The following is a 27289-nucleotide window of genomic DNA, read 5'->3' on the forward strand; positions in this document are numbered from 1 at the left end:
GCTCTGCCCCCTCATCTTCTCCCCTTGCACACTTTGCCCCCATGACCTGGGGAGGGGCTTCTTTGATTCCTCTCCTGTGTCATGCCCTGCCCCACCACGGGGCCTTTGCCTGCCATGCCCCTCCCTGGAAAGCCCTCTCCATCCAGCTTCCCTTGCCAACTCCCACTTGCCCTTCAGCTCTGCTGTTACTCCACCAGTGCTACTCCCTGACAGTCTCACCAGGACTCCCAGTCTTCTCTCCTCAAGGTTGAACAGCCAACACTCCTACGGCAGGTGGCACTTCTAGACCCTCCACACCCTCCTCGGTTTCAGGTTGTAGGATGCCTAGAACCAGACTCAACATCAGGGAATGAGGAGCTTTTCAAAAGTGATTTGCCCATCTAGTTCTGCCAAGTGACAGGAAACTGAGGAGGTTGAGGATTAATGCCCCGTTAGCCTTTCACCTCTGAGGCCCTTGATCTCCATGTCTTGAAGCTCACACATTAAGTGTGTTTTATGGGATAAGAGAGCCCCAAATAGAATATGGACATTTCACACGAGGAAGCCATTTCGGACCGCTGTCAGCATCAGCTTGAAACCCACTTGGGGTGGAGATAAATGACTGTCGGAAGTTTGCAACGGCATCAGCAAAAATAAACACCTGTGATGAGGTTGAACTCTTCATTATTGTTTTTAAGTCAGGGCCAATCTGAGGCAAAAGTATAAAGTAGATGGAGAATGTTTAAAAAATAAAAAATAAAAAAACAAACCCCACCATTTTCCAGAGCCATCTTTGGGCTCTTTCTGAGAAATTCTTTTTTTTTTTTTTGAAACGGAGTCTCACTCTGTTGCCTAGGCTGGAGTGCAGTGGCACAATCTTGGTTCACCATAACCTCCGCCTCCTGGGTTCAAACAATTTTAGTGCCTCAGCCTCCCGAGTAGCTGGGATTACAGGCACCCGTCACCATGCCCGGCTAATTTTTTTTTTTTTTTTTTGTATTTTTAGTAGAGACAGGGTTTCATCATGTTGGCCAGGCTGGTCTCGAACTCCTGACCTCAAATGATCCACTCACCTCGGCCTCCCAAAGTGCTGGGATTACAGGCGTGAGACACCGTGCCCGGCCTCTTTCGGAGAAATTCTTTTTGGGTCTCCGTCTCTGGAGCAGGGAGAGAAAAGTGTTGGGAAGCCACAGAGGTCTTCGGGAGCACCCTCAGATGCTGTGGTTGAGGAGCTGGGCCTGCGAGGTGACCTTCAAACCCACACTGTGCTCCATTCTCAGTGCCACCCCGGCCTGAGGACAGCTGTGGAAATGACACCGGGACAAGGGAGGCACACAAAATGTCCTCCCTTGAAGGGCAGAACTCGAGTCTTTCCTGTGTTAGTTTTCCCCTCAGCCCGGCCCAGAGCTTGGCAAAGCCGGCTGTGGGTTAGAATCGGCTGAGGAGCTTTTATGAAAGCGCATGGAAGCTGTCCCCGCAGGAGGTTCGGCTGCTGAATGAGGTTGTGGTGCCAGATAGATCTGACTCCTCACCTGGTTTGGGGACCCCGGGTGCATTCTTCAGCCTTGCCTCAGTGAGTGCTCAGGACACGTCTGCTGAATTGAAAGAGACCTTCAATGGACTGAACAACAACCTGCTTTCTGGCAGGCAATCTAGAAAATAGCCTGAGACCAGGGTGTATCTCCCAGCCTCCATGCCGCAGGCCGGGAGGTTTGTGTAGTCGACGTTCTCCCCCTAGTGGCCTGAGTGAAGATGACAGGCAGGAGGGAAAAAAAGCCTTTTCACCTGCGAGGCCTGGCTGCCAAGGGCTCCCGAGCTGCGGATGGACACCAGGATCCAGCTGCTCTTCCATGACTCGCCCTCCCTTACCTCGCCCTGATCCCGGCCCTGTCAGATCTCATCTTTACTTAACATTCTGATATTTTGTTTATCATAGAGTTTTTGGGTTATTTTTGATTTATTAAAATATTGTATTAAAATATTTCTGGCCGGGGGTGGTGGCTCACTCCTATAATCCCAAAACTTTGGAAGGCTGAGGCGGGTGGATCATTTGAGGTCAGGAGTTCGAGACCAGCCTGGCCAACATGGTGAAACCCCCGTCTCTACTAAAAATAAAAAAATAAAAAAATAAACTAGCCAGCCGTGTTGGTAGGGCGCCTGTAATCTCAGCTACTCGGGAGGCTGAGGCACAAGAATCGTTTGAACCAGGGAGGCACGGGTTGCAGTAAATTGAGATTGCGCCACTGCACTCTAGCCTGGGCGACAGAGCAAGATTCCATCTTAAAAAAAATTATTTCTGCCAGGTGCGCTAGCTCATACCTGTAATCCCAGCACTTTGCGGAGGCTGAGGTGGGAGGATCATTTGAGGCCAGGAGTTTGAGACCAGCCTGGGCAACATAGCAAGACCTCCGTCTCTACAAATAATTTAAAAATTAGCCGTGTGTGGTGGCACAGGTCTATAGTTCCAGCTTCTCAGGAGGCTGAGGTGGGAGGATCACTTGAGCCCAGGAGGTCGAGGCTGCAGTGAGCTGTGATCGTGCCACTGCACTCCAGCCTCGGTGACAGAACAAGACTCTGTCTCAAAAATATATATATTTCTATTGATTACTGTGGTTTTTGTCACCCTCTTACATTTTGTGCATGACGTGAGTGCCTCAATTTCGCTCCCCCACCCTCATCATAGTCCTGATGCAGAAGTCAGCCCACGAAGCCCCCCTAGACATAGGGAGTAAGACCCTCATCATTTGTCAGCTGAACCCTGAGGCTCCACCCAGGGTTGCGCTGGCCTGTGAGGGCCTTGTGTGTCTAGTGCTCTTTGCACTGTAATTAAGGGCACTGTAGATTCTCCAGGCTTTCTCCAGAAGGGGAATGGCCGCCTTTCAAAGTGTGTTCTGAATGAGAAAATACCCCTGGATCAAGGGCGATTTGAGTGCACAAAGATGCACTGGGTTCTGTGGTGCTTACAAATGTGGAGACCTACAGGTAGGCCCTGGTTGCTGAAGCCCACAGTAATCAGCCGAAGCTAGGAAGAAGGGCTGGGGCCCAGTGCATCTGGGAAGGCCACCGCCTTGGATCCCCTTCCTCATCTGGGCCACCATCCCGCATGATCAGCCTGAGACCTCCAAGTGGCTCACCAAGGAGGCAGCCATCCTCAGAAGAGTCAGGGGATAAAAGGAGTGCTCATCTTTGACATCACTCTCTACCAGAGACCCGCCTCAACTGCATCATCTGCTTCTGCCCCACCTGCCACAAACCCACCATCTGGAGCAACGCTAGACCACATCCAAGGAAGACAAGACCCCAGCCCTGGGCCCTGGAAGGTCTCTGCTATCATCTGCCCCACGCTCTACAAAAGAGTGACGAGTCTTCCCCCATCATTCCCACACTCTCCCTGAGGAGTCCCTGGTAGATGCCAAGGGGACATCGGTTCAATATGGGCCAAAAAGTGGCAACCACAGAGCTCTGGGGTCCAGCCCATCTTGCTGAGTTTGGATTTATTACCTGGGCTACAAAGGGTTAAGTCAAATGCCTTCAAATGCCTATATCCCTGAGGGAAGGAAGAGGAAGAAGCGAAAGGCTCTCCTAAAATTTATTTTTGTAAGAAAAAGAAAAGGTAAAAAGAACTGTTCACTGACCAAAGCTGACCCCTTCCCACAGGGGTGCTGCAGGGGACCCCAACCCACACGTCAATCTGATTGGGCCAGAAAGCCTTTCCTGAATGTTTCAGACCCACCCCAATCCCAAACCATTTATGGCCCAGAGACAATGGAGTTATTTTAAATAAACCCGATTTTATTTATGGAGATGGCCACTCCTTCTGGAACTATCCCGTGCAGCTATCCTTGTCCCTGAGGATCTCACTAGGCGGGCAGCCAGAGAAAGCTGCTAGGGAGCTGCAGCTCCAACTGAAAATTATCTCCAGCAAATCGTTTCATGGGTCTCTCAGTACCTGCGTTTTTGTTTTTGTTTTTTTTTTTTTTTTGTTTTTTTTTGAGATAGTCTCACTCTGTTGCCCAGGCTGGAGTGCAGTGGCAGGATCTCAGCTAACTGCAACCTCCACCTCCTGGGTTCAAGCGATTCTCCCGCCTCAGCCTCCCCAGTAGCTGGGATTACAGGCACCCAACACCACGCCTGTCTAATTTTTGTATTTTTTTAGACGATGTTTTGCCATGTTGGTCAGGCTGGTCTTGAACTCCTGACCTCAAATGATCCGTCCACCTCAGCTTCCCAAAGTCCTGGGATTATAGGCATGAGCTACCACATCCCGCCAGCACCTGGCACTTTTACTGCAGCTTCTTAAGCCCCCAGATCCCTGCATACTGGCAACACCTGTGCTTGGGGTGCGATTCATTTGCGTGGGATCCATTCCTGCCATCTCAGAGCAGCGGTTCTCAGATGCACGTGCATATCCTGGTGTATCTCATTCATTGAGAAGCGGGCCTGCAAAAGATTAACTAATAATAAAGCGCTCAAGTCTGTGGCCGACTTGACTCATGCAATGAGCAGATTCAAGATGATCCGCCTATCAGTGTCACTTTGTATTCTGATAAGCCTTCGTGAATGGAACGAGCTCTGCCATGGCCTGGGACATTCTGTATTATCTTCCAGCCTCACGCCTCATGCCTCCCTTCTCAGTTCTTACCTTGGCCCCTCCCTCTTTCCTGTCAAGGTCTTTGCACTTGCAGAGCCTTTTGCTGGAGACCTCTTTTCGAGGCCTTTGTGTTGCTCTATTTCCTTCTTTGGAACTCAGCTCAAAAATGGAAATTTTCCAGGTACTGACTTAGAGGGGTCTTAAGAGAGCTTTTGGGGAAGGGAGGTGAGAAGTTGGAAATAGCTTGTTCTTTGATCTACATGGAGGTTTCAGAGTGTGCACATAAGCAAAAATTATTCACTGAGTTGTCAACTTAAAATCTGGAGAGTCACTGTATGTAAGTAAACCTAAAAACGCAAACTTAAAAAAAGAAACAAATTTCCACCTCTTCCCTGTCTCCTGTTATTCCTATTACTGTCAACCATGGCATGTTCATTTCTATCCTGGCATAATATTATATTATTTGCTTGTATATTTGTAAATTGTATCTCCTGCTAGAATGTAAGCTGCATGAGGACAGATACTCTGTCTTGTCCACTGCTGCATCTTTCAGAGAATAGCATAGTGCCTGTTACACAGTAGATACTTTAAAAAGAAGTGAATAAATAGATGGTTGGATGAATAAAAAGGTTTGGATTTAATGAAGGGGAAAAAAAGAGGCAGAGGAGGTGAGCCTGAGGCTAGAACCGCTCACTCGACCCCCCACCCCCAGCCTACAGTTGTGGGGTCTTGCTCTGTAAGCCCAAGTCCAGAAGCTTGTTCCCTGCCTGGAGGACCGCCGTGGCATGTCTATACCTCGTTGGGGTCATCCTGGTCGGCATAGATTAGGAAGCCCGTAAAGAGGCTGTCTGTCCAGTAAGGGTCATAGAAGAGCCCGTTCTGCTCTGAGTAGAAGATCTGCAGCCAAACTTCGTCACCCTGCTTGAGAGCCAGGATGGTGGAGCCTGAGGCCACATCGTGGTTGCCGGTGTTGGCATCAAAGGTCCGGATGCGGTACTGGCCGTTGTGCACCAGGCCGATGGCCAGGTGCTTGTTGGCCAGCGTGATGTCGTAGGTGAAGTAGTAGATCCCAGGCACGCCGCAGACGAACTTGCCGCTGGAAGCATTGTAGTGGCCACCCTCGTTCATCAGAATCTTGTCAAACTTGATGGGCAGCCGCTCCCGTGGGTAGCTCTTGGTCACTGCCACCGAGAAAGCTGACTTGGTATGGCCACTGCCACAGCTGCAGGGGCCTGGGAGGCCTGGCTCCCCCTTCTTGCCCTTGGGCCCCTTCTTGCCTGGTGTGCCATGCTTCCCGGGGGTACCGTTGACCCCCTTGGGGCCACGGGGGCCAGCCCGCCCAATGGCCCCGGCTTTGCCCTTTGGTCCTGGCTTTCCCCGGTTACCTGTCCGGCCAGGTGGACCTGGAAGACAGAGCAGCTGGTGTTATGGAGGGTCCTCACAGACCTAGGCAGAGGGGTGCGGTGCGGCTTGGTCTTCCAATCTTGGAGAAGGAGTGCTTGGGTAATAGAAAGAACAAGAAGGCTTTGCAGACATATAGAAGTGGGTGTAAATCCTAATGCTAGCTCTCTGGAAAATGGAAATGATGATACTTACCTTCAAGAATCACTGTGGATCAGGGCAAAAAGAATAACTTGTAACAGTTCACACCCTTTCCTTTTCCTGCCTTCTAAGGAAGGGTCTGGTCTGTCTGCCAGCTCAATCCTTCCATGGGCTGCGCTGGTAATGGGTTGAGAAGAGAACTGGAAAAAGCCTCTTGATTTCAACACGTTGATCTTAGTAAAATCCCTGCCTAGTGCATATAAGCCCTGCCCACGTGTACAAGGATTTTATTGCAGCATTGCTTATAATAGCAAAAAATAGGAACAACTAAATGCCCATCCAAAGGCAAATGATAAAAAACATTACGGTCCATCTATACTGTGGATTTCTATGCAGGAGTTAAAAAAAAAAGTAGAGTTACGTGTGCTCTATGAAACCTTCTCTAACATACACTAAGAGGAAAGAGCAGGTGGCCAGACCCTTTGTGTTAAAAGGAAGGCAGGCCGGGCAAGGTGGCTCGCGTCTATAATCCCAGCACTTTGGGAAGCTGGGACTGGAGGATTGCTTGAGGCCAGGAGTTTGAGACCAGCCTGGGCAATGTAGCCAGACAGTCTCTACAAAAAATACAAAAATTAGTCAGGCATGGTGGCATATGCCTTTAGCCCCATCTACTTGGGAGGCTGAGGTGACAGGATCCCTTGAGCCCACGAGTTCCAGGTTACAGTGAGCTATGATTGTGTCACTGCATTCCAGCCTGGGCAACAGAGTAAGACCTTGTCTCTAAAAAATAAAAATTAGAAAAACAAAAGGAATGGAATCCACAATGCCAATTTTTTTTTTTTTTTTTTGAGACGGAATCTTGCTCTGTCGCCCAGGCTGGAGCACAGTGGCGCGATCTCCGCTCACTGCAAGCTCCGCCTCCCAGGTTCACACCATTCTTCTGCCTCAGCCTCCTGAGTAGCTGGGACTACAGGCACCTGCCACCACGCCCGGCTAATTTTTTGTATATTTAGTAGAGATGGGGTTTCACCGTGTTAGCCAGGATGGTCTTAAACTCCTGACCTCGTGATCTGCCCACCTCGGCCTCCCAAAGTGCTGGGATTACAGGCGTGAGCCACCACACCTGGCCCACAGTGCTAAATATTTCTACACCCATTTAAACGCATAGAAGAGTGCTTGGCCTATAGCAAACATTCCTAAATACTAGCTGGCATTCCCTGCAGAACAATTCCCCCAGTTGTGTTTTCCTTTAGAAGGCTTTTTGATGTTTCATACTCCAATGTTTCATAAAATGCACATTTCTCTCAATCCAACATTTTTGGCTACTGATTGCATAAAATCAATTTAGTTTATGTCCCCTCAACTCAATACAACATTTTAAGCAAAACCTATATGGATAATGACTTGAGTTCACTCGACACAAGGTTGTTAGAACCATATGAACTGGGTCAAGGAAGTAAAGTTTTAGGCATTTTACATCCTAACAAGTTACTTTGTTTCTTATACATTTGTATGTAGGCATTTCACTGTGTTTTAGAGTTTTGAGTTAATCTGTAATGCATCTGAATTTTTCCTATTTTACATAATTCGGAAATAGGTTTCCAAATTGCATTTTGTTACTGAACACTTGATTTTCAGGAACAGAGTGCTTATGTTAAGTGCCTGACAATGCCTGGTATTATTAAATACATATGTAAATATATAGAAAAAGGCCAGGAAAGATACATACCTAACCAATTAATAGTGGTTACCTCTGGAGGGTGAGGGAAGGATGAGAAGGGGTAGTAAGTAAGGAGGACTTTTGCTTTATGTGTATTGTTTGAATATATTACAATGAGACTGTATTTGTATATTACTCATATAATTAAAAATAAACAAAAAGAATGGGAAAAAATAAAACTCAGAAAAGTCACAAAGCTATTTCTTGAAAAAATGAAAATAAACAAAAGGTGGGAAAAGGGGCCAAGAGAAGAGGAATAGAGACAGAATCTTTTTTTTTTTTTTTTTAAAGATAGAGTCTCACGCTGTTACGCAGGCTGGAGTGCAGTGGCGCGATCATAGCTCACTGTAACCTCAAACTCTTGGGCTTGAGTAATCTTCCTGCCTCAGCCTCCTGAGTAGCTGGGACTTCAGGCACACACCACCACACTTAGTTAATTTTAAAATTTTTTGTAGAAATGGTGTCTCCCTATGTTGCCCAGTCTGGTCTCAAACTCCTGGCCTCCCAGTACTCTTGCCTTGGCCTCCCAAACTGCTGAAATTACAGGCATGAGCCACCACGCAGCCTCCAAGTCATTTTGACTTGGGGTTTTTGGCGGGAGACAAATAGATAAAAAAGCTTACCAGGAGGTCCTACCATGTATTATATAATGTGCTTTCCTCTTCTTTACCTTTTTTGAGAGACTTTGGGAAAAGCTGACTTTACTCTTGAAAGACTTTTCTGGAGGTGAATTTGTATGTGTGGTGATGGCGGGTGGTTGGATGTTATCCTGAATTGGCCCCAGGGTGACAAGCTTTGTTTGAGTTACATGCGCTGGGACTCTCCCAACACTGCCTTCCTTGGTGTGGTGGCTTCCTTCTCTGCAGAGACTCAACACACAGCAGAACAGATGGCCAAAGGCAGCCCCAGTACATGGTAGAACTTCCTGGTAAGCTTTATCTATTTGGGGAAGTCAACAGCAGAGACTCTGTCCCTCAGGATCCATAGGCAAATCTCAGGGAAAACTCTAGCTGGCCTGCTTGGAGCACATGTCCAGACCTGAGTCTGCCGCCGTGGTCAGGAAATTGGATATCATGATACCAGTGCCCAGCACGCTGGAAGACCCACCCCAGTTAAAGCTATGATAGTTACTTTTATACTAATCTCCTGGGGAGGAGGTACCTTTGAAGGAATTAGTTTGGTGTGGTAGGAAAAGACCTGGATTTGGAGTCAGCTATCTGCATGCTATGTGAGCTCAATAAGTCAATTACAGGGTGCCTAACATTTATTGTATGTCTATGCTGAGACTGGTCCTTCATACATTGTTTTATTTCATCTTTACCACAACCTTGTGAGACAGGTGCTATTATTATCCATATTTTAGAGATGAGGAAACCATGGTTTGGAGAGAAGTTAAGTAGTTTGTCAAAATCAGTGTCCAGGTTTGTTTCCAAAGTTCACGTTCTTGCGAGGATGACATTTTGCTATCAACTGAATCACTCTGACTCTCAGTATCCTCATCTGTAACATGGGGAAAATAAGAATCCCTCCGGCACACGATATGGATGGTCAGATGGGCAACATGTTCAAAAGTGCTTTGTCAATATTAAAATGCCATACAAATAAAAATTATTATATTTCTCTACTGCTTAAAATGTAGGCTTAGGGATGCTGCTGACACTGAAAAGTGCTTGGTTGCTGGGGTGAAAGTTTGGAGATATAAGGAATGTCACAACGGAAAGGTCTGTAGAGTATATCCATTCTGCTCGCCGTCTGCCTGGCATCCCTTCCTTTGGGGAGTTGCCCTTCACCATTTCATTTCATACGGTCCTAGCGGGGCTGTCAGTCACAATGACTGACTGCCCCCACCACCCACTCACACACACGCAGGGGTGGGTCCATGAGCCTGCCCTGCAAATGGAGGCACCTCACCTCCTTGGTCAAGGGAATTGGTCCAGGATACGCATGTGGCCAAGGAGAATTGGCTGTTCTGAGATTTGCTCTGTGGATGAAGCCAGGAAGATGTGGGCCGGAGCCCAGCAGTGCTATTTCAGAACTTCTAGCCTTTGTGAGGATACAACAAACACAGAGAGAAGCAGAGCCGTGACAATGATATTTGAGCTCCTGGACTCAGCTATTCCTGGAGCTTGGCTCTTGGACTTCTCAGGCTTTTTTTTTTTTTTTTTTTTTTTTTTTTTTTTTGAGACACTGTCCTGCTCTGTTTCCCAGGCTGGAGTGCAGTGGCACGATCTCAACTCACTCCAACCTCTGCCTCCTGGGTTCAAGCAATTCTCCTACCTCAGCCTCCAGAGTAGCTGGGATTACAGGCATACACCACCAGACCTGGCTAATTTTTTGTATTTTTAGTAGAGATGGGGTTTTGCCATGTTGGCCTGGCTAGTCTTGAACTCCTGGCCTCAAGTGATCTGTCCACCTCGGCCTCCCAAGTGCTGAGATTACAGGTGTGAGCCACCGCGCCTGGCCTGATGTCTCAGTTTTATGGGCTAATACATTCCATTTGGGACTATAAATTGAGTTTCTGTCACTTGCAATTATCAAGAGTTCTCAGTAATATTTTGGGAGACTTTTCCAAAGTCACTTAGCAACCCAAAGGTGCACCGGGGGCAGGAACACAAAATTCAATACCCATGTTCCTTTCAGAATAAACTGCTCTGAGGCCGGGCACAGTGGCCCATGCCTGTAATCCCAGCACTTTGGAAGGGCGAGGTAGATGGATCACTTGAGGTCAGGAGTTTGAGACCAGCCTGGCCAACATGGTGAAACCCCCTCTCTACTAAAAAATACAAAAATTAGCCAGGAATGGTGGCATGCATCTGTAATTCCAGCTACTCAGGAGGCTGAGGCAGGAGAATTGCTTGATCCCAGGAGGCAGAGGTTGCAGTGAGCTGAGATCATGTCACTGCACACCAGCCTGGGCGACAGAGCAAGCCTCTGTCTCAAGGGGAAAAAAAAAAAAAGTATATATATATATATATATATATATATATATATATAGATTTATAAGTAAATAGTAATTTGATTTATAATGAAGAGGATTAATACTAGTTTTATTAACTTCATGATGCCCCCCACATGCCGGATGCTGTCAGCCAGGTGGGAACGAGAGTGGCACGTATAGGCCTCTTACCTTCCTCTCCGCTGTCCCCCCGGTCGCCGTCGTGTCCATCTTGGCCGTCTTTGCCAGGAAAGCCCATTCGTCCCATCATTCCTGAGGGCCCTGGGGCTCCTGGGGGGCCGGGTGGGCCCTGGGGGCCAGGCAGGCTGCAGACCAGTTGAGGGGAGCCTTTCCGGAAGTCCCTGCGAGCAAAGGCGCCAAGCAGTGGGTCAGCAGCACAGGGGAGGGCACAGGCCAGGAGCACCCAGGGGATCATGGTGGTTACCTGTGGGAGGCAAGAGAGCTGTGACAGGTGAGTGTGGCCACCAAGCTGACCTGGGGCTGGTCAGAGGGGATGCACAGGAGGAGGCAGCTGGGATACACTCAGTTGGATTTCTGTCTCTTGCTCTTTCCTGCATCACATACAAGTAGATGTGATGTGGACAGAGTCGTCATATCTTGAGGACATATTTGGGTGAGTGGAGTCATTACCCAGAATACACTTCGAAGGGGTCTCGGGGGTGAGGCATTCATCATCAGACCATCATCTTCCAGAGTGGCTGAAATGGATGCAGAACTTATGACCCAGAGACTGATGACTGGGAGGAGCTGTGAATGGAGAGAAATGATCCATGGTTTCATCCAAATCTGTGGCATGAATAGAAAGTTACAGTTCTACAAGGGTAATGTTTGAATTGTAGGTGACTTTGCAACTAGTCTGCTTCTCATGGGAGACTCAGGGTTGCACATGAGGAGGGCTGAGGATTCAGTTACTGAGTGGAGGTCAACCATCACCTGAGTGACCCTGGCAGGCCGTGGTAGCAGCTCCTCCCCCAAGCGCTTCCTGTGCGCCAGGCATGTGCTAAGAGCTTTCCATTCATTACTTGATCTTCACAATACCCTTATAGAATAGATACAGGAGAAGAAGCGGAGGCTCAGAGAAGTTGAGCAATGTGTCTACATCACGCTTTTCCAACCCGGGGCCTGTGGGCCGCATGCACCCCAGGATGGCTTTGAATGCAGCCCAACACAAGTTTTGTAAACTTTCTTAAAACATCATGAGATATTTCTTGCGATTTTTTTTTAAGCTCATCACCTATCGTTAGTGTATTTTATGTGTGGCCCAAGACAATTCTTCTTCCAATGTGGCACAGGGAAGCCAAAAGATTGGACACTCCTGGTCTACATCATGCGATGAGTAGATGGCAGGGCTAAGGTTTGAACCAGGCTGTCCAGATCCAGAGCCTGTGCCCTCCTGTCCCAGGCTAGACCGTGTCCTTAAGGCTGATGGCAGCAATAGCACGATCCCACTGGAGATCAGTGTGCTATGCACCTGGAGGTATCTACTCCCTGCCCTCACTATGCATACGCAGAAACTGAGACCCAGAGCAGAAATAAGCAACTTGCCCAAGATCTCTCAACAAATCAGTTCCTTTGCTTTGTAATTAACAGCCTCTCTCTCAAGAATGAAACCAGGAGGGGGAACATCCCAGGCATGACTTCCTGCCATGGCGATTAACTATAAAATGGCAACTTGCTTTGTGACCTTAGGCAAACCCTTTTCCCTCTCTGGGCCTCAGTTTCCTCACCTGAACAACAGGGGCTGGGCTAGAGCAGTGGTTCCTAAACTTCAGTGCGCATCACACTCACCTCGAGGGCTTGTTAGCACACAGGTTGTTGGGCCTTATCCCCAAAGTTTCTGATTCATTAGTTCTGGGGTGAAGCTGGACCATTTGCATTTCTAATAAGTTTCCAAGGGATGCTGCTGATGGTGGTCCAGAGACCTTGTTTTGGGAACCACTAGAGTAGATGGTCTCTAGGGTCTCTTCTAGCTCCAATGCTGAGCCTTTCAGACTTCAATCTGTTCTCTTTCCAGATACAAAGCACTGTGGGCTTTGTAGTCCTCACTCAGCCTGTGGCTATCCAATCAGAGCGTTTAAGTATTAGGGGGATCCTCGGCAGCTGTGGTCCTGGTTGCACAGCAGGGGCATTACTCAGGCATTGACCTTTGGAACTCATTTTTCCTTCTGGGCTTTCAATCCCCTTTCCCTTCAGACTCTGCTTGGCCCCTGGCTCTTGGAGCCTGTCCAGGCTTTTCGGCTGCCTCTGGCTGTTCCCCTCAGAAACAGGCTGACCATACCTCTCCTCCTGCCCCCTCCAGGATCTTTAACCCTGGAAACAGATGCTGAGGGGAAGGCCTAGACTTGCAGAGAAAGGAAAATGTTCATTGCCCACATCCCAGCAGTGTGACAATCACAGGGCCCAAAATGGTTACTCCCAAAGAGCCTGCAAAAGGCCCCCATGGAAAAGACAGCTTTAAATGTCTGCCAGGCACAGAGACACAGAGCAGTCTAGGCCCGCCCCAGTCGTGAAACATCTAGAAATCCTCCTCCTGTCCCTGTACCTCCCCTCCCTTCAACTTGGAAACAGGTGAGCTGACAAGGGGAGCAGATGGCCTTGCCCGTTTCACACCTTCACTGGGGGAGCAGGAAGAAATCTCACCTTCGAATGGAAATTGAGGTGTGGGTTGCCTGGGAGTGGAGACTTCAACCAGGGGGAGGAGGAGCTCCCCTCACTGACTAAATTATAAGTAGGGAGGGGTAGGCAAAAATAAGGATGCAGTTTGATTGTATTTCTGATGTCACACTTGCTCAACCTAGGTTGGATAAATAATAGTAGAGATGGTAGGCAGGTACGGCAAACATCATGGAAATGTTACATGAATGACAGGTGCTTTTGGAAAACTATGGCCTAGACACTCCCCAGGCCCTGTGAATCACCATTTCTTTCCCTGTCTACGTTAGGAGAGTCTTGGAAAACTGGTTGGCCTTATTTGTGAGCTGCAGCACATCTGGGACCCCCAGAATAGAAACTGAATTTTTAAAGCAGGTTCGAAATGATTTGGAAAGTTGCAGTCTACAACCATTTTGCAGTAGGGAGAGAAGGAGGGAGTAAGTGGAAGCGAGTCTTCGAGGCAGATGAGAATCCTGCAAACAGCTAGCTGAAGACAGGCAGAAAAGAGAGCCAGCCGGACGAGAGAGAGGGAGAGAGACTGGCAGAAAAGAGAGCCAGCCGGACGAGAGAGAGGGAGAGAGACTGGCAGAAAAGAGAGCCAGCCGGACGAGAGAGAGGGAGAGAGACAGGCAGAAAAGAGAGCCAGCCGGACGAGAGAGAGGGAGAGAAAGGGAACCATCTGTCACAGCTGACAACTCCCCTCTCTCTTCTGACCTCCATGCCCAGCCACACAGGCTCCACAAGAGGAAGGCGGATTTGCTCTCTTGCCCACAATGGCCTTGCACCAGCTTCTCTGGACAAAGAGGGAATGCCTGTCTGCGAAAGCTGGTTTGGGGCAGGCCCCAGTGCCTGGGTGGAAGGGTGTGTGTCTGAGACACACAGGGAGGAAGCGTTTTCTGAACTGGAGCCTGAAGCTCCTGGAGTCCCAGAGGAGTCTTGGGAGCTAGAGCCAGGAACTGTTTTGGAAATAAAGGCGGGGAGACTAGATTCTAGTTCCAAACCTAGAGGAAGGGAGGGAGAGGAGAGTCTCCTTGCCTCCACAACACCTCCAAGAAAAACAAGGCTACAAATAGCCCTGCTCCCAGCTTGTGCCCTGCCCCACCCTCACCCCACTCTCTACACAAGGGTGTCGAGAAAGCCTGGGGGGCAGGGTGCTTAGAGGGGCACTAAAGCCCCAAGGAATCCAGGCAGATTAACTCTTCCAGGGCCTTTCTTTAATTTTTTTTTTTCTTTTTAGGGATGGGGGTCTTGCTCTGTTGCCCAGGCTGGAGTGCGTGGTGCAAGAGCTTACTACAGCCTTGAACTCTTGGGCTCAAGTGATCCTCCTGCCTCAGCCTTCTGTCCCAAGTAGGTGGACCTACAGGAGTGTGCCACCACTCTCAGCTAGCACCTTTTAAATACATTTAGAATCAAGAACTTGGGGAGGGCCTCAAGGAACCATCTAATCCAACCTCTTCAGTTACAGATGGGGAAACCAAGGCAGAAGCAAACTGACCTTATTACGCACCTACAATGTTCCAGGCACTGTGTGAAGCCCTGTATCTACATTGCTTTTTTTATCTCACTTTGTCGCCCAGGCTGGAGTGCAGTGGCGTGATCTCGGCTCACTGCAACCTCCACCTCTCGGACTCAAGTGTTTCTCCCTCCTCAGCCTCCCGAGAAGCTGGGACTATAGGAGCGTGCCACCATGCCCAGCTAATTTTTGTATTTTTTGTAGAGATGGGGTCTTGCCATGTCATCCGCTGGTCTCAAACTCCAGTCCAGCGATCTACCCGTTTCAGCCTCCCAAAGTGCTGAGATTACAGGCGTGAGCCACCGCATCCAGCCTGCTGCATTGTTTTATACAAAGCTTACTAGAGCCCTATGAAGCTTACCTGAGCCCTTATTGTCCCATTTTTTTTTTCAGAGGAAAAAACAGATACTCCAAGAAGTGAAGTTATTTACCCAGAGTCACACAATCAGGGATTAATGGAGATGGCATCCAAACCCATGTCTGTGTGCCTCTGAAAACTATGCTTAATCCATGCCACCTTGCTTCCTGCCCCTGCTATTTTCCCCCCATTTTATAAAAGACATTGAAACTTGGAGAGGCTAATTTACTTATGTTTACACAAGTAGTTAGTGGCAGAAGTTATATTTGAACTTGGGTTTGGCTGATCCTAGTACCCAAATGCTTTCCATTATGTCAGCATTTCTTATATTTTTCCCCCTAAATATTCCACATTACAGAAAAGACCTTGAAGCATATGCCAAAACCACACACAGCCATAGAGAAATCTCTCTGATGCCCTGTATTTTATTTTACAATTTTTACACACACAGTACATGACTTTGAAAACGTACAAGTGATGCTTTTTCTCTCTCTTGGGGTGCTGGAGTAAATCAATGCTTGAGCAAAACCTCCTGTCCTTTGAGAGGCCCACACTTGGATTAGACAAGGTGATGAGAGGCGTGGAGGGGACAGCCTCCTGGGCCCTGGGTCCCCACCATAAGCCCCTCTGGTGTGTTAATGGGGGAGTTTCCAAGGCCTGAACCAAAAGATCAGGGTGTCACTCCCCAAGACCCTCCAATAGGTGCTGGCTTAAAATAGCAAACATCAGAACCCAGGCCATGGCTTACAATGCCCCAGTTGAGCTGGCTCTAGCCCCTGCCCCAGCCTCAGCTCCTCCCTGGCTCCCTCGGCTCCTCTGGCCCAGCACCCACCCCCCCTACCTTTTCTAGGCCAAGCTCCATTCAGCCCCAAGGCACCAGCCACTCCACCAGTAACCTCACGGCTCCACCCTCTTGGTTTGCTGGCTCTTTATCTGCTGTATTTCAGTTTAAATGTCACTTCCTCCAGGCATTCCCTGATGTGCCCTCTCAGCCAGCGCCCGCTTTCTGCAAGCTCCCTTTTCCCAGCTCTTTGTTTCTTTTCCAGCACTTGAAACCACTCACCCATATTCACTTTACTTGGTTGCCTCCCCCATGTGTCTCCACTAAAATGTAAGCTCCATGAGTACAGGACCCCAGCTGGCCACCTGGCTTCAAACTTCCTCACACACAGTGAATGTTCAAGAAATATTTGCTTAATTAGTAAGTGTTGGAGACGCAGACTCTGCCCTCAAGAAAATCCACAGCGAAGAGAAAACCAGACAGTGGCTGAAATCCAGAAGAGAGAGCACTGACACCCCTTGATACAAATCTGTTCTTTTTTCCTCTGCTTTTCTAACCCGAATCAGATCAAATCCCTCCTTGCTTTTGACCCCTTACAGTATAGGGGCTAGGTTGTTCCCTCTCTGGCCCCTAGGGTGGGGCCAGCCTTGCAGAATGCCTTAGATAGAGTAGGTGCTCCATAGAGAGCTGTCCAATTAACCAGAAGAGAGGTAAGTATTAGTCCTTTCTCACCTGTAAAAAAACAATCTGAGTTCCTAAATTGTCCTTTCTGGGGGTGGGAAGGTGTTAGTTTAATATGGAAGCCTTCATTAGAGCCTTCCTACTAAAGGGATAAAAAATATTAGTTGGTTAAACCCCAGAAATGGAATTGTGGGTTGATAAACTTGGATGAGTTCTTTTTTTTTTTTTTTTTGAGATGGAGTCTCGCTCTGCTGCCAGGCTGGAGTGCAGTGGCGCAATCTCAGCTCACTGCAACCTCCATCTGCTGGGTTCAAGCAATTCTCCTGCCTCAGCCCCCTGAGTAGCTGGGACTACAGGTGCGCACCACCATGCCCGGCTAATTTTTTGTATTTTTAGTAGAGACGGGGTTTCATCATGCTGGCCAGGCTGGTCTCGAACTCCTGACCTCGTTATCCACCTGCCTCGCCTCAAAGTGCTGGGATTACAGGTGTGAGCCACTGTAGCTGGCTGAACTTGGATGAGTTCTTAAGTCTGGCTTTCAGCTGCCCAGTCCCTGGGCTTCTCATCTCTCTGTTAAGTAGCTAATGATTCATCAATACACATGTTCTAGAAAAGCGCTAGGAGCTAAAGTGCCACAGGCTGGGTCTACTGTCAGGGAAGTCTTCCTCCTGGCCCACAGGACATGGCCCTCTGGTTTATTCCCAAGGGCCCTCTGCCCAGACTGTGATGTGAGAGGTGCCAAAAGTGGGGACGTGGGCCTCTCATTGATCCTTCCTGAATGTGTCTGCTAGTAGTAGAAGCTCCAGGAATACTTGTCTTGAGCAAGCCTACTAGGCCTGGGTGCTGAACAGTCTCCCGTTGCAGATTGGAAGATGTAAATTATGCTCAAATAAATCTGGCCTGTTGGTTATCAGGTTTTGACACACTGACAGATAGGAGTGGCATTTAACTCCGTGGTTAAGAGCCATGGAACACCCAGCACTTGATTCCCTCAACTATGCAATGAAAATAATAGTATACCTACCTCAGGGAGTTTGTGTGAGAAATGAGTGAAGGAATGCATTCAAAGATTCTATTTAGCCCAGTGTTTGACACTGTAAACGCTCCACGGTTGGAAAGAACTGTGCCTAAAATGCCCCCAGTCCTTAACCTCCTCTGGGAAGCCCTCAGGTAGCTGCCAGCCTCATCCTTCAAGTCTCAGGTCTCATATCATCTCCTCAGAGAGACCTGCCCTGATCACGTGATCCAAAGCATTGCACCCATCCTGCATATGCTCTTATCCCATCCTGTTCTTTCAAGGCACCTGGCCCAATTTGTGATTATGTATTTGTTTGTTTCTTGACTTGTTAACTCTCTGGCTCTTTCCCTGGAATGGAAGGTCCAGGAACGTATGGGCCCTGCATGTTGCTCTCAGCTGGGCTGCTGGAGCCTAGCGCAGCACTGCATAGAGTAAGTGCTCAACACGCAGCTGTTGAATAACCTTGAATGAACTGGCCGCCCTTACGGAGACTGGAATAATCCAGGGTGGTCATAGGAGAAAAATCCCAGGCAGCAATTTGACATGATTAGAGGCTATATAGACCGATAAGACCCTGAAAAACAGGGTGTGGACCAAGCTGGCTAAGACCCACTGGACCCAACATGTTGATGGATTTGATCTAGGTTTCACCTAGGACCTCTTTATACGCTGATTCATGTACTCAATCACACACCCACCAGTGCCACGACAGCTCCGAGAACACCCATATTTGGTGTAGAAATGAGTGGCACCACAGTTCCGGGAAATCTCCACCTTTTTCCAGGAATTTTCATGAATATTCCACCTCTTGGTTAAAGAAACCCATAAAGATAGAAACCCCAAACACTTCTGCCCAACTCTCTCTTGAGAATGCCCACAGCCCCCTCTCCTGAGTGTGTACTGTTTTCCCTTGCAAAAAATCACCATACTTTCACAATTTTCTGACTCATCCTTGAATTCCTTCTTGAGATGGTGTCAAGCGCCTGGACACTGGCTGGGGTCGAGGTCCCACTGGCGTTTGAGGACCTCCCCAGCCCACCGGTATTATTATAATTTATAAAACAAGGGGATCTCAAGGGTCTCAATAAACGTGCGGATGACAAAGCCTCACTTGGCTACTGAGGAAAACCCAGTGCAATGACTGGGCTTGGATTCTGAAGACTGGGGTCCCAGTCCTAGTTTTGTAACTTACTGATCGCGTGACTGTGAAAGTCAGTTCATCTTATCTGGGCCTTCATTTCCTCACCTGTAAAATGGAGATATTAACATTTGCCCAGTCTGCCTTACAGGGTTATTCAGAGAATCAAATAAGATAGTGGATTTGAAAACAAAACGTGATACAAAATTAGAGTCGTATTTAAAATTGTAATTGTTACTAGTTGCAATTGAACTAAGGGATCACAGTCCTGAACTCCCACTGGGAGCCCCAGGAGTGTTTCAGGGGAGGCCTCATCCTTGGTGGAGGAGGACACCCAAATCTCACCCAGCAGGGCAATTCTCCCTGTGTTTGGTGTTAAAAGGGACAAGGTTTGCTTGCAGATGAAGCTTGCTGAAAATCCACTTTGATGGGAGAATAGAATACTATAATAAAAAACACTCCACGCCCTCCCTGAATTCCAGGAAGTAAATTGGAAACAGTCCTCTCCAGCTTCTCTGAAAAGCTAAAGAGATCCTTTGGAGGAAAAAGCGGCTGGCTGCCGCTCCTCACAGTACTCACGAAATGTCCCCTCTCTCCAGATCTCAAGATCAGTGTCCTTTTGGAAACTGTCCAGAATCCAGAGTCTAAATACAGAGGCTTAAAAGTCCTGGGGCCCACTTGACAGGATGCCTCAGAAAATATTTGATCTGCTATTTTCTCTCTCCTCATTTCTGGTTCAGCCTAGAAAATGAGATCCAAGGACACATCATGATCTAACAAGGTCTCAGAAGCCAGGGGTTTGTCTCAGCAAGAATTCCTGAAAGCACACAGGAAATCAGCCTGTATGTTAAAGCTGAAGAATTATACCTTCTAATATATACAAGCCCAGCCTTTACAAAATGACAAATGTGGTGTATAACGTGGTGGGCAGTGGAGCCCACCCCCTGGGCCCTGGCCTGCTGCACGTCTGAGCCTCAGCTGCCTCCTCTGCACAATAAGGGCAAGAGTCAGGCTCTGGAGCGGCTGAAGACAAAGCCATCAAGCTTTGGCATTGTCTGCAGCTGTTTTCTGCCACGTGGAGACCAAGGACTGCCATGGGAGAGAAGAATGCAGCAGCTGTGCGAGATGTGAGGGGTAGAGAAGGCGGCTGAGGGTGTTCATATCCCCATATCGCATCCTCAGGGCCAGTCTCCACGTGCCTGACCACAGCGGTGGGGGAGTGGGTGTGAGCAGCTCAGCCCAATAGGAAAATGACGCAAGTCACATGTGTCAGTTTGTCTTGTAGTCACATTAAAAAAGTAAAAAAGAAACAGGTGAAATTAATTTCAATGCTATTTAGCCCTTGATTTCCCAAATATCATCATTTCAACATGTAATCACCATAAAAATTATTAATGAGACATTTTACATTCTTAAGTTAGTACTAAGTCTTTGAAGCCCAGTGATGTATTTCACACTTGCAGCGGATCTCAATTCAGACTGGAGCATTCCAAGTCTCCAATAGCCGCATGGTGGCTTCCATAATAGCTCCAGCATAGCTGTGTGAGTTCAGATGCCATGAACTAGCTGTAGTACCTTTACACGTTACTTAATCTCTCCCCTTCAGTCTCCTCCTCTCCAACATGAACACGATAATAATAGAACCTACCTTAGACAGTTGTTACGAGGATTTAATGTTTCTAGAATAAGGCCTGGCATATGGCAAGAGGTATAAAAGCATTAGCTTCTATTATTTTATTATTTCTTGCCCTTCCGAAAATCAAACAAGATAATGGATGTTGAATGTAATGATACGAGTTTTAAGACCTTGTTTAAAATTGTAATTGCCACTAACTGCAGTTGAACTAACAAAAACCAGTCCTGATCTGCCACCCTGAGTCCTGCATGCATTTCAGGTAGAGACTCCTGTAGCTTCTCATAAATTCCCATTTTCACTTATCACTTTGAGTGATGGCTCTGTCAGGTGCTACCAAAAAAAAGTCCTAGGGAGGCTGGGCCTTTTTTCCTGCCTTGCTGTTTCTGCTCTGAGGGAAGGATGGGGTGTTGCCTTGGCTCCACAACTTTGAGCCACCTGGCGTGTCTGTGCTCCATAATACAAAGACCAGGGAAGAAGCGGGATGGTGCTCATCTCATCAAGCGACAGGGCCAAATGGGATATGAGGTGTGCATGTGTGCATGATACTGTAGCCTGGCACATGGATACCCAATAAATAGTATGGTTTATTATTACTGCCTTTGAGGCCAGACACTGGGGAATTAGAGGTGAAAAGATGTAGTTGCTGCTCCTGTAGGGCCCACTCTGATCCCTAGAACTACCTGGGCAGGTTATAACTGTCTGCTTACCTGAGCATCCAGCTGGCACACCTGTGTAACCGGGAAAGAAAAGCCTCACTCTCCTTTTCCTTTGTAATAGGCACCTAACAGCATCTAGACATAACAGCATTCAAGACCAGGCAGGCGGCAGGGGAAGGAAATTTTGGGATTAGGCAACAATCCCTGGGAATGACATAAAAGGGACTACACTTGAAGATCTAAGAACTGAGGGAGAGAAACAGAATCTGAACTTTGAAGGGGACAGGGAGAAAAGGCTAAGTTTTCCTTGACTTTTCTGGGTGAACCCAAGAACTTCCATGGAGTCATTTCTGGTCAGGCCTTGATGGGCGTTCGGAGTAACCCTAAACTTCTGATACAGGGCCGGGCACAATGTCTCACATCTATAATCCTAGCACTTTGGGAGGCTGAGGTGGGGGGATCACCTGAAGACAGGAGTTCGAGACCAGTCTGGCCAACAAAGTGAGACCCTCTGGGCAACAAAGTGAGACCTCCCCCCACCTCACCCCGCCATCTCTACAAAGAAAAAAAAATCAGATACAGGTCTACCCCTAGAGAAGCACGAGCTGGTCTGGTGGTTAAGTTGTTTTCCAGCTGTTTGACCTTGGGCCAAGTTATTTAATCTCTCTAGGCCTCAGTTTCTTTGTCTGTAAAATGAGAAAAATAATACTGTATGGTCTTATTTGAATTTGAATATTCATTGTTTCACTTGATGTGTGAAATCTGAAATAACCCCAATTTTCCCAAGTTAAAAGTTGTCAAAAATCTTGTAAGGCAGTGTGAATTGTAAATTGTAAACTGTATTTATGCTATAGCCACATAACAGCACTGTCCTAACAGGTAATCAGAAATATCTACCATTCTTCAGCAGGTGAGCTTTTTTAAAAAATTTTTTAATTTCCATAGATTATTGGGGAACAGGTGGTGTTTGGTTACATGAGTGAGTTCTTTAGTGGTGATTTGTGAGATTTTGGTGCACCCATCACCCGAGCGGTACACACTGTGCCCTATTTGTAGTCTTTCATCCATTGCTCCCTTTCACCCTTTCCCCTTGAGTCCCCAAAGTCCATTGTGTCATTCTTATGCCTTTGCATCCTCATAGCTTAGCTCTCACTTATGAGTGAGAACATACAATGTTTGGTTTTCCATTCGGCCCGTGAGCTTTTAATGATACCAGTTTTGAATTATTTGAGGTCTTTAGGAATGCCTCCCTTGAGTAATTTGACTGCTCACACCTCCCTTACAGAGTAATTGTGAATATTTAATGAGATAATGCAGCAACCAGCCCACAGTAAGCACTCAGTAACAGTAGTGATTTTTGATACAATAATCATTCCTGAGAACAAAGAGAAAGATGATGTCATGGGAGAAGGTTGCCACACTCATGAGAATAAACAAGCAGACCTGGGTAAACCTGGATAGACCTGGGTCTGCTGTTTCCCCATCTGTAAAGTGGCCGTAACAGTGACCCCGTGAGGAGCTGAACATTTGCAAACTTTGGCATCAATGGCAATGAAAGCAGTTATAATGGCTGATGCAATTGTATAGCTGGGCATAAATGCAAAGAGGTACAGGATTTCTACAGGTGTGCCCTACTTTACACAAGATTGTAAAATTCAAATTTAGTCATTCAGTGATTAGCTTTTAACTTTTTGTTAATATTACAATGTGCAGGCTGAGTGCGGCGGCTCACACCTATAATCCCAGCACTTTTGGAGGCCAAAGCAGGTGGAGTGCCTGAGCCTAGGAGTTCGAGACCAGCCTGGACAATATGGCAAAACCTCATCTCTACAAAAACTACAAAAATTAGCCGGGCGTGGTGGTGCATGCCTGTAGTCCCAATTACTTGGGGGGCTGAGTGGGGAGAATTGCTTGAGTCCAGGAGGCAGAGGCTGCAGTGAACAGAGATTGTGCCGCTGCACTTCAATCTGGGCAACAGAGCAAGACATTGTCAAAAAAAAAAAAAAAAAAGAAAAAGAATAAACAACGTGCAGAGACTGGCTGAGGAGGATTAAAAAGCTATGGAACATGCCCCTGCCACTGAGGAAATTATAGCCTAGACAAGCAGGGATCAGTTGGCTTATCAGTGGCCTCACACAGATCACAGACTACTCTGTACTTTTTGTTTTGGGTTTTTAATTTGAAATTGTTGCCAATGTAAAACTTGGGAGATTTTCTGTTAACATCGACGTTTGCAGCTTTTCTTGGGCAGCAGAAGGATCTGGGCAGCACTGAGCCTGCATTTGGGCAGGTCAACAGGTAGCTGCCCCTTGAGACAAGGTATTACAGGCTGACTTGTGTCTCCCCAGAATTCACACATTGAAGTCCTAACTCTTAGATTATCAGAATGGGACTGTATTTAGAGATAGGACCTTAAAAACGGTAACCAAGGTAATATGAGTCATATGGGTAGGCCCTAATCCAGTATGAGTGGTGTCGTTACATTAAGAGGAGATCAGGACACAGACACATACAGAGTGACAACCATGTGAAGACACAGCAGATGATGGCCACCTGCAAGCCACAGAGAGAGGACTCAGAAGAAACCAACACTGCAGATACCTTGATGATGGGCTTCCAGCCTCTAGGGATCGTGAGAAATAAATGTCTATTGTTGCAGCTCCCCAGTCTGTGGTGTTGTCACGGTGCCCCACGCTGACTAGGACAGAGAGCCTGTGTTCTACAGTGTCCACAGTCCTCACCACTCCCAAATGTCATGCATCCCATTCCTATATACATTGTGCACAGTCTCTGTCAGTATCTGGGTTTGCAACCCCTAATCTAGAGGAAAAGAGTAATGATTCTCCATGTATGTTGTGTGTTCTTATTTCAAAGTTTTGATGTTCATATCTCCTTTAAATCTCCCCACACTTCTAAGAGGCTGATACTGTCATCTCCACTTGGCAGAAGAGAAAACAGAGCTCAGAAAAGGGAAAAATTACTTTTCCTAGGTCAATGTTTGGGTGGAACTCAGGCCTGCTGGCTCAGGGCCCAGAGCTCATGTTCCTCCACCATGGCCCCTCAGCTAACAGGGGAGTTACTAACAGGGCAGTGATGTGTATGCGCATGTGTATGTGTGTTATAGGAGTAAGCCACTTAACAGAAGTGAACAAATCCAGGGGAAGGTTATTTGCTTGAAAAAATATTTGGCACATAATTCCTTTCAAAAGAAAAGCTAGAATGGGCTGGGCGCGGTGGCTCATGCCTGTAATCCCAGCGCTTTGGGAGGCCGAGGCGGGCGGATCACAAGATCAGGAGTTTGAGACCAGCCCGGCCAATATGGTGAAACCCCGTCTCTACTAAAAATACAAAAATTAGCTGGGTGAGGTGGTGTGCGCCTGTAGTCCCAGCTACTGGGGAGGCTGAGGCAGAAGAATTGCTTGAACCCAGGAGGCGGAGATTGCAGTGAGCCGAGATTGTGCCACTGTACTCCAGCCTGGGCAACAGAGCGAGACTCCTTCTCAAAAAAAAAGAAAAAAGAAAAAAAAGAGAAGCTAAAATGGAATATAACTAACAGAAGTTTGATTTATGCAAGAGTTCATCTCACAGAGGTAAATTAAGGTTGGCAGGCCTTTGACCAGGAAGAAGGAGTGGGTGAAGCTGTGGGTGTGGAGAGAGACTCTGTTACCCCACAGTGAACATTTAGGAGTAGGAAGCATCAGTGATTGAGACAGCAGGAGAGACTGTCTGATCAGCAGGGTCAGCATAAGAGAAGGAATAGCGAGACAGGGGGGAGGAATAGGGAGATTTGCAGAGGAAAAAAGTGACACCTTGGAGAACTTGCTGAACATTCAATGGAGACAGAGTGGCTTCAAACGTGACTCCAGCCTTGTGAAAAATAATCTCAGTTCATCCATACAATGACACACTATGCCCATTAGAAGAACAAAGTAAGCCTGTATATGCAGATATGAAAACATGGCGAAGACACACTGTTAAGTGAAAAAAGCAAGTTGTACCATGGAATGTAAAGTATGCTTCTCTTTGAGTTTAAAAAAAAAAAAAACAGCACAAATACAGAGTATATATATGTACAGAAGGGTTGGGGAAATACTTTCCGAAAAGACACAATCTTGTTAAGGGGTTACCTTTCAGAATTGGGAGGGGGTGTGTGGGCTTTTACTTTTCTCTTTCTACCTTTTTGAACTGTTCGAATTTCTTGTGATGAGCGTCGTTACTTTTATAACATTTAAAACAAAAGGTAAACCTAAGGTTTAAGGATTGGAAGACTGGTAAGTGTGGTATCCCTGCTAGGAGATGGGGAGAAGTCAGACATTTGGGAGGAAACAAATTCTGCAGTGAATCTGATGTGTTACAATGAAGGGCTGTAGTGATGCTTGGAAATGTGTGGAGAGTTTGAGGATCGGGCAGTTGAAAGCAGGAGTAATTGATATAATTACTCCAGATGACAGAATAAATTAGAGAATGGTGCAGAGGGAGGGCAAAAATAAGGATGTGAGAGGACAGATTTTTAACAGTGCTAACTGAGCACCAGCCTTGGATTGACCTATGTAAGACATTGTCTTTCTATTACTGCTACTTCAGCATGGTGGAAACACAGGGTCTCTGAGAGATGGCCAGTCTAAGGAAGGGACCTCTGCAGGCTTCCAAGCAGGGCAATTTTGTGGTCAAGGAGCAGAGGAGGATCACAATGAGGTAATGCAAGGGACTCATGGTGTCAGAGGAGAGACCTGGGCTGGGAGACTATTAGGGCCCACTGCAATTATTTAGCTGAAAAGCGAGGTCCTAGAATGGGGCAGCAGCAGTGGGGATGGAGAAATAAGGACAAAGCATATTAAGACAAGTAGTTTAGGTGGGGAAGGAGAGTGAAGAGAGTCATGAGGCATTGAGTACAAATCTCTGCCTGCCGTTCAATACCTTTTGAGCTCAGTTTGCCAGTCTGTATCATATATTTAAATAAATGTGAAGGTTAAGTGAAATAATGCATTCAGTAAATGTTAACTGTGATTGTTAGCTCGGGTATTGGACTCAGATTTACCAGACTTCAAGTCCCTTTTTTATCAATTACTAGCTGTGCAACCCTGTCCAAGTCATTAATGTCTCTGAGCCCAGTTCCTCTTTTGTAGACGGGGATAATCTGTTGTCATGAAAATGAAAGAGCACAAGTAAAGTGCTAGCAGGACTTGGCACAAAGTAGGCGCTCAATAAATGGCAGAGCTACGGGTGTTACTATTGTAACGGGTAAACCACTGGGCACAGAGCCTGGCACACAGTAAGGACTCAAAACATGTTAATTTGTATTATAATACGAAGGTAGAAGTCGAGAGGCAGGAATGCAGGAGCTGCCCAGCCCGCAATAAAGGCGCGCTGGCAGCTCTCCCACCTTCCGCATCCCGCCCCGCCCGCAGCAGTGCGAGTCCTCCTCCTCCTCCTCCCCGCGCGCACTTGCCGCCCCCGCCCGACCGCGGTGCGGGACACTCACCCTCGCGGCTGCCCGCCACGTCCAGGGGCGTCCGGAGCAAAGAAGCTCTCGGCGGGGCTCCGCGTCCCGGCTTTCCTCAGCGGCAGCAGCCGGGCAGAGCGTCGGCCCCAGGCATAGTTTTCCCATCCCGTCATGGGCGGGAGAGCCTTCCTCCCGGTCACGTGGGCTGGCCCGCAGCGCAGCATTCTCTTTTTAGCAGCTGTTTGGAAAAAACTTGCAGTGCTGATGACAACTCGGGTGTGTCGATGCATCTCTGCGTTTGTAGAGCTTGTTAGCGTATTTGGAGGTTTTGTGCGCCAGAGTGATCAGAGTGATTGTTTCCCACGCGTTTGCAAAGGTGTGCATGTACTTGAGTGTGATGATAAATCATAGGGATGTGTTTAGTTGTGTGTGTGCGTACGTGCGTTTATCCAAATTTTCATCAGGGCTGTTCGGTGTATGTACACATGCATGCACATGTCCAAGATGGCAGCTTGGTGTAAAACTGGAGGGCACATCAGTGGTTGGATGTACACGATAGTGGCTAGACATCTGTATGTGGGGTGCATGTTTAAATGTGTGTGTGACTGTGCAGGGGCTCATTCTG

General features: G+C 47.5%; 1 protein-coding gene across 7 annotated transcripts; it reads right to left on the reverse strand.

Annotated features, from left to right (window-relative positions):
* Nucleotides 1-3945: 3945 nt before the first annotated feature.
* On the reverse strand, nt 3946-26818 carry C1QTNF2 (C1q and TNF related 2). 7 transcript variants are annotated; one of them, XM_011534426.4, is made up of 5 exons: nt 26704-26818; nt 11419-11535; nt 10960-11212; nt 5956-5973; nt 5184-5751 (listed from the first exon to the last, which is right to left on the reverse strand). In XM_011534426.4, the coding sequence occupies exons 2-5, from the start codon at nt 11461-11463 to the stop codon at nt 5360-5362; spliced, it is 708 nt and encodes a 235-aa protein (XP_011532728.2). In that variant the 5' UTR covers nt 11464-11535; nt 26704-26818; the 3' UTR covers nt 5184-5359. The 7 variants fall into 7 exon arrangements, with proteins under 7 accessions (XP_011532727.2, NP_114114.3, XP_011532728.2 ...); XM_011534427.3 differs by having other exon boundaries at nt 5956-6068; XM_011534425.3 differs by having other exon boundaries at nt 3946-5973.
* Between the last annotated feature and the right edge of the window lie 471 nt (nt 26819-27289).

This window comes from Homo sapiens, chromosome 5, assembly GCF_000001405.40.
Source record: "Homo sapiens chromosome 5, GRCh38.p14 Primary Assembly".
NCBI lineage: Eukaryota > Metazoa > Chordata > Mammalia > Primates > Hominidae > Homo > Homo sapiens.